Source organism: Homo sapiens, chromosome 13 (assembly GCF_000001405.40).
Source record: "Homo sapiens chromosome 13, GRCh38.p14 Primary Assembly".
NCBI classification, from domain to species: Eukaryota; Metazoa; Chordata; class Mammalia; order Primates; family Hominidae; genus Homo; species Homo sapiens.
This window is the reverse complement of record NC_000013.11, coordinates 77029355-77035439: the sequence shown is the minus strand read 5'-3', so window position 1 is coordinate 77035439 and position 6085 is coordinate 77029355.

Genomic DNA, 6085 nt, shown 5'->3' with positions numbered 1-6085 from the left:
AGTGCTGGGATTAGAGGTGTTAGCCACTGTGAACAGCCTTATTCCCATTTTATAGATGAGGAAGCTGAAGCATGAAGAAGTAATCTGTGCAAGCTCGCGTATCCTGTAAATGGCAGAATGAGACCTGAGCTCCAACCCAATCCACATCTTCTCCATCCCACTCTAGAGCAGCTTTGACTGAGCAGTGGAGGCTTGAGGCTTTCAAATTTGCAAAGCCTGAGAAGAACCTGAAGCGACATCAGACTAAAGGACCTGAAAGAAGAGAGCTTCAGGAAAAAGAGGTCAGAGAGTGGGAAAGTACACATGGAGCATGCTCCTTATAAAACCCTAAGTCCATAAGGCCCTTGCCTTGTATGACTCAAAGGAATGACTCAATTCGGGTGAAAAGTTCTGTTCCTCCCCAACTTAACTGCTCTTTAGAGATGTATCAGCCCCTCAGGAAAGAACTGCATGCATCTTTCTTCTAGTGATGTCTTTAAGTTTGATTTCGTTCTAGGAAGTCGGCATAAATCGGTCTTAGGTTCCCTGCCTCCAGCCCCTGTGGTTGATCTGTCAACTTGGAAAACAGGAAATCTTTCAAAAGGGGCAGTAGTCATGCCCAGTGACTTTTCTGGGGCTCCATCCAAGACAGGGCCATCCACAGCCACCAGCACCCCTTTAGGACTAGGCAGAATCATCTTTGGTTAAAGGGCAGCTGTGGAGAGGATGCAAGGCCCCACTCCCGGACACAAGACACAGCAAGACCAAATTCCATGATCACCTTTCAGTGAAAAGCAACATAATTTGAGATCCAAGGAGCAGCCTTTCCAGATTAAGTTTGCAATGGTAAGGAGTTTTGATTGCAAGCAAAAGAAAACAAAGTCGAAATAACTTTGAAAAGCAAGAAAAAAATATGTGAGAGCTGAGCTACCTCTTCCAGGCTGTGGGAATAGAGCAGAACCAGGGCTGGAGGCTCTGGCACCATCTCTCCTCACGTTCCTCTCTATGCGTCTATTTTCTCTTCTTCTTTCTCAGTGCAGAGCACCTTTCTCTGCTTTGCAGACCATGTGGTAAAAAGATCACCTATAGCTCCTGGGTTGATGTGTTACAAGTCTAAGGACCCAAGGAACAGACTACTCTCTTTCTGCCGGTATTAATTCCAAATTCCCAGGGGAAAGACTGTCCCAGCTTGGATGGCCCCTGTTTCTATATGGAGGTTTACCATTCACTGTGGAACATAAGAAATTGGTGAATCACAAAAGAACAGGGTTCTTTGTATGATATGGGTCCTCTGACTCATAAACTAACTTATGACTGTGTTCTCTCATCATCTTCCCATTTGCCTCTTAAGAGTCTTCCCTCTTCTGTGACATCTAAGTCCCTATCTATTCCTCAGGACAGATTTATTTTGGGTTAAGTCCAGGTAACTACGCCATGTAATAAAACATAAGTCCTGTTTTGCCACATTCTTTCATCCTTGGAAGAAACATTTACAGACTGGTTTAGGAGCCTAGGATTGGTGAACCAAGCAGACTAAGATTCATGTTTTTGTTTTTTGGTTTTTTTTTTTTTTGAGATGGAGTCTTGCTCTGTTGCCCAGGCTGGAGTGCAGTGGCTCAATCTCAGCTCGGTGCAACTTCTGCCTCCCGGATTCAAGCAATTCTCCTGTCTCAGCCTCCTGAGTGGCTGGGATTACAGGTGCCCGCCACCACACTCAGCTAGTTTTTCTATTTTTAGTAGAGATGAGGTTTCTCCATGTTGGCCAGGCTCATCTTAAACCCCTGACCTCCGGTGATCCGCCCACCTCAGCCTCCCAAAGTGCTGGGATGACAGGCGTGAGCCACCACACCCGGCCAGATTCATGTTTTTGCCATTCTTATATTCCAGGTGGGAGATGGACACTAAACAACTGACATACAATACCTAACAAGCTAGGAAGTGATAAATGCCGTGGGAAAAGAAAAAGAGGAAAAAGAGGATCAGGCACGTTATTATCACTGTTTTGTTTTGGTTTTGTTTATTTCTTGGTTTTATTACACTGTTGGATTTGATTAATAAAGGTCAAATATCTCTTATCTGAACTTCTTGGAACTAGAAGTCTTTTGGATTTCAGATTTTTTTCAGATTTTGGAATATTTGCATATACATAATGAGATATTTTAGGAATGGGCCCCAAACCTAAACATGAAATTCATTTGTGTTGCACAGACACTTTATACACTTAGCCAGAAGATAATTTTATGCACTATTTTAAATGATTTTGTGCATGAAATAAAGTCTTGACTGCATTTTTACTGTGGTCAGGTGTGGAATTTTCCACTTGTGAAGTCATGTCAGCACTCAAAAAATTTTGGATTTTGGAGCATTACAGATTTCAGATGTTTGGATTAAAGATGTTCAACCTGTATTTATTTTAGCATTTTTGCATTTATTTTCATTGTGGGCCATGGGGCTATAGTTTTCCTTTCTTTTTTGGTTTGGGAATCATGATTATAGTAGCTTCATTAAGATGACTTGGATCACTTTATTTCTTTATCTTTTTTCTCAATTGTATAAGAAGGGATCAGGTCATGCTGTTCATGGTGGCACACTCCTATAATCCCAGCTATGAGGCTGAGGCAGGTGGGTTGCTTGAGGCCAGGAGTTTGAGGTCAGCCTGAGCAACATAGCAACATAGCCTTGTCTCAAGAAAAAAATTAAAGAAATAAAAGAAAAAGAAAAGAAGGAAAGGATTAAACTCTTAGAAATCTGATAAGGCTCATCTCTAATTCCATATGGGCTTAGGGTTATTTGGGAGGAAAAGGCTTTGATAATTACTTCAATGTTTATAATGAATTCAAATTCTCTACTCCTTGTTACTAATTTTGACATGTTATTTTTAAAAGAATTTATTCATTTTATTTATGCTCTCTATTTTATTAGTTAATAATTATTCATAACATACTTTTAGTATTTTAAATCTCTGTAGCGGCTATATTAGTTCCCCTTTTAAAAATTTCTGTACTTTGTTAATTTCCAACTTCTCTTCTTTTACTAATCAATTTGACCAAATAAGTGTCTACCTCATTTGCCTTTTGTATAAACCAGCTTCTGTTTTTGCTAATTCCTCTATTTATTTTTCCTATCTTATTGATTCTTCCTCTTGTCTTTATTATTTAACTATCTTCCAGTTATCTACTACTGTATGACAAAGCACTCCACACTTAATGGATTAAAATAATATTTCATTATTGTCTCTCAGGGTTCTGTAGGTTCACCGAGCTTTGCTGGTGGATTCTCAGTTTGGATTTGTGTTTGCAAATAGATAGCAGCTGAGCCGGAGTCATCTGGATACTTAAGTTGGACAGATGCTCAAGAAGGTTCACCCACATGGCTGGCAGTTGATGCTGACTGCTGGCTGGGAGCTCAGCGGGGGCTGTAAACCAGCACACTTCTTTATGTGACTTGGACTTCTTATTAGCATGGCAACTGGGTTCCAAGAGGGAGTTGCTAAGGAAGAAACATGCCAAGAGATGCAGACATCCAGACAAAAACTGCAAGGCTTTTCATAAGTTAGCCTTGGAAGTCCTAGAATATTACTTCCTCTACATTTTCATGATGGAGCAAATCACAAAGTCCAGCCCATATTCAAGTGCATTTCCTCTTAAAGACTTGTGAACTAAAGAGACACGTGATCTACTCATGTAGAACCAATATACAATGGTGAAATAGGCGTAGGATAGTAAATTCTCCCATTTATAAAGGGGAGAAGAGGAAACAATAGCGGTCACTTGTCTATAGTGATTCTGAAATCTAGCTGGAAACATGTAACCAGTTTCTTAATTAAGGCCCAGTCCTGCTTCCTGGAAGTGATTTTCAGTAGCTCTTGGCTCAGCCGTCTGGGGTCCTTTCTCTGCACTCTGAGTCATCATTCCTTCTTTATAAGAAATGGTCTATGATTGCTGGTAAGTCGTTTTATGGACCTATATTTAAATGACAGAAGATGGGAGCCCCAAGGACTCTTCATTTTCAACTGTCTCTGTATCTTCTATTCAAATTCACAGTGTTTCTGTTAATACAATTTTCATAAACATATTGTATGTTTCCTATGACTCTTACTTTGGTTCACTCCATCAGAAAAAAAGCCACACCCATAAATCTCTTTGAGATTTATGGTAGGGCTGAGATTCAAGATGCTATGGCTCAATGCTTTTAAAATTCTTAGAAGTCTAGGAAGCATACACATAAAATCCTTAAAAGACCTCTTAACTAGCTAAGATGGTCTAAGCGGTACCACCTGAAATTGTTCTAAAGTCCAATAGGTGGACTCTTGATCTGAGCCTTACTCTGAGGCCATGTCTTACTGGTAGTACCCAGGTATTTATCATTTCCCTAAAGGTCTTTTTAAATTTTGTGAACCTTTTGATGGAAGGAAAGACTGTTCCAGGCCCTTTATCTTTCCTCTAAATTCTACTAAAAAACTAAACAGTTACTTCTGTACTTACGTTCTCTCTATCTGAACTTTTTCTTTTCTTTTTTTTTGAGATTGGGTCTCCCTCTATCACCTAGGCTAGAGTGCAGTGGCACAATGATCACGGCTCACTGCACTGCAGGCTTGACTTTCCAGGCTCAAGTGATCCTCCCGCCTCAGCCTCCTGAGTAGCTGGGACCACAGGCGTGCACCACCACACCTGCCTAATTTTTGTATTTTTGGTAAAGACAGGGTTTTCCCATGTTGCCCTCAAACTCCTGAGTTTAAGTAATCCAGCTGCCTCAGCCTCCCAACTGCCTCAGCCTCCCAAAGTGCTGGGTATCTGAACTTTTTCATATGCAACCAAAAGAAACCAGCAGATACTCTCAACCTTCTGCTTGGCGATTTCTTTCCTTTTCTTTCTTTTTTTTTTTTTTTTTTTGATAGGGTCTCGCTCAGTCACCCAGGCTAGAGATACAGCGCAGTGGCACAGTCTCAGCTCATTGCAGCCTCCATCCCCAAGTTCAAGCAATCCTCCTAACTCAGCCTCCTGAGTAGCTGGGACTACAGGTGCATGCCACCACGCCCAGCTATTTGTTTGTATTTTTAATAGAGACAAGGTTTCGCCATGTTGCCTGGGCTGGTCTTGAACTCCTGAGCTCAAGCAATCCGCCTACTTTGGCCTCCCAAAGTGCTGGGATTAGAGGCGTGAACCACTGCAGCCAGCCTGCTTGGAAATTTCTTTAGCCAAGTCCAACAATTAAATAAATGCATTTCTCTACTTTCCATGTTGCCATAGACAAATGTTTCCCTGGGCTTGCCATTATTATATGAAAGATATCTAAAGATATCCTGATTTCTCTGGACTCCATTAACAATTCCTTATTGTCTTTCCAGCACTCACTAACAATCTCCTCCCCTTCCAGCTTCTGCCTGTTGCACAAAATTCCTGCAGCTAAAGTTGTACGGAAGATGAACTCACAATCCAAAATTATAAAATACATGAGGAACAACCCACCATGAACAAACATTGACACATATCATGATTAGACCCCCAATTATTTCATAGGATTAAAACAATTTAAGAAAAAAAGAAATTACAAAGTGAAAAGAGTATCAAGAAAGATCAGGTAGATATGAAAAAGAACCAAATAAAACTTTTAGAAACGAAAAACGCAGGCAAAGGTAGTCTTAGCAAAGACTAAATAGACTAAATTAGTGACTTGAAGACAGATCTACAGAAATTACAGACAGAAAAGTAAACATATACAATTAAGAGATATGTAGATACACCTCCCAAGACAGAAAAGTTTTAATAATTTAAATAGACATTCCCCTCTCAAGGAAATGTTGCAGTTCAGGTAAATCCACATTCTTCAGTGTTGGCTGCACATAGTGACTTTCTTCCAGTACAAAAAGAGAGGGAAAAGGGTAACTTTAAGTAGAATAACTTGATCTCAACCTCTGATTAATGTTGACATCAACAAGGATAAGTCGTATTAATAGATGTACCCTTGATATGATGTGATGAGAATGGTACTTTATACCTCTGTAGTTTTCCTTCTAAAACATCCATAGTCCCCATGTAATTATAAGAAAAAAACCTAAGACAAACCCCAATTGAGGGACGTTCTACAAAAATACTAAAGCAGTACT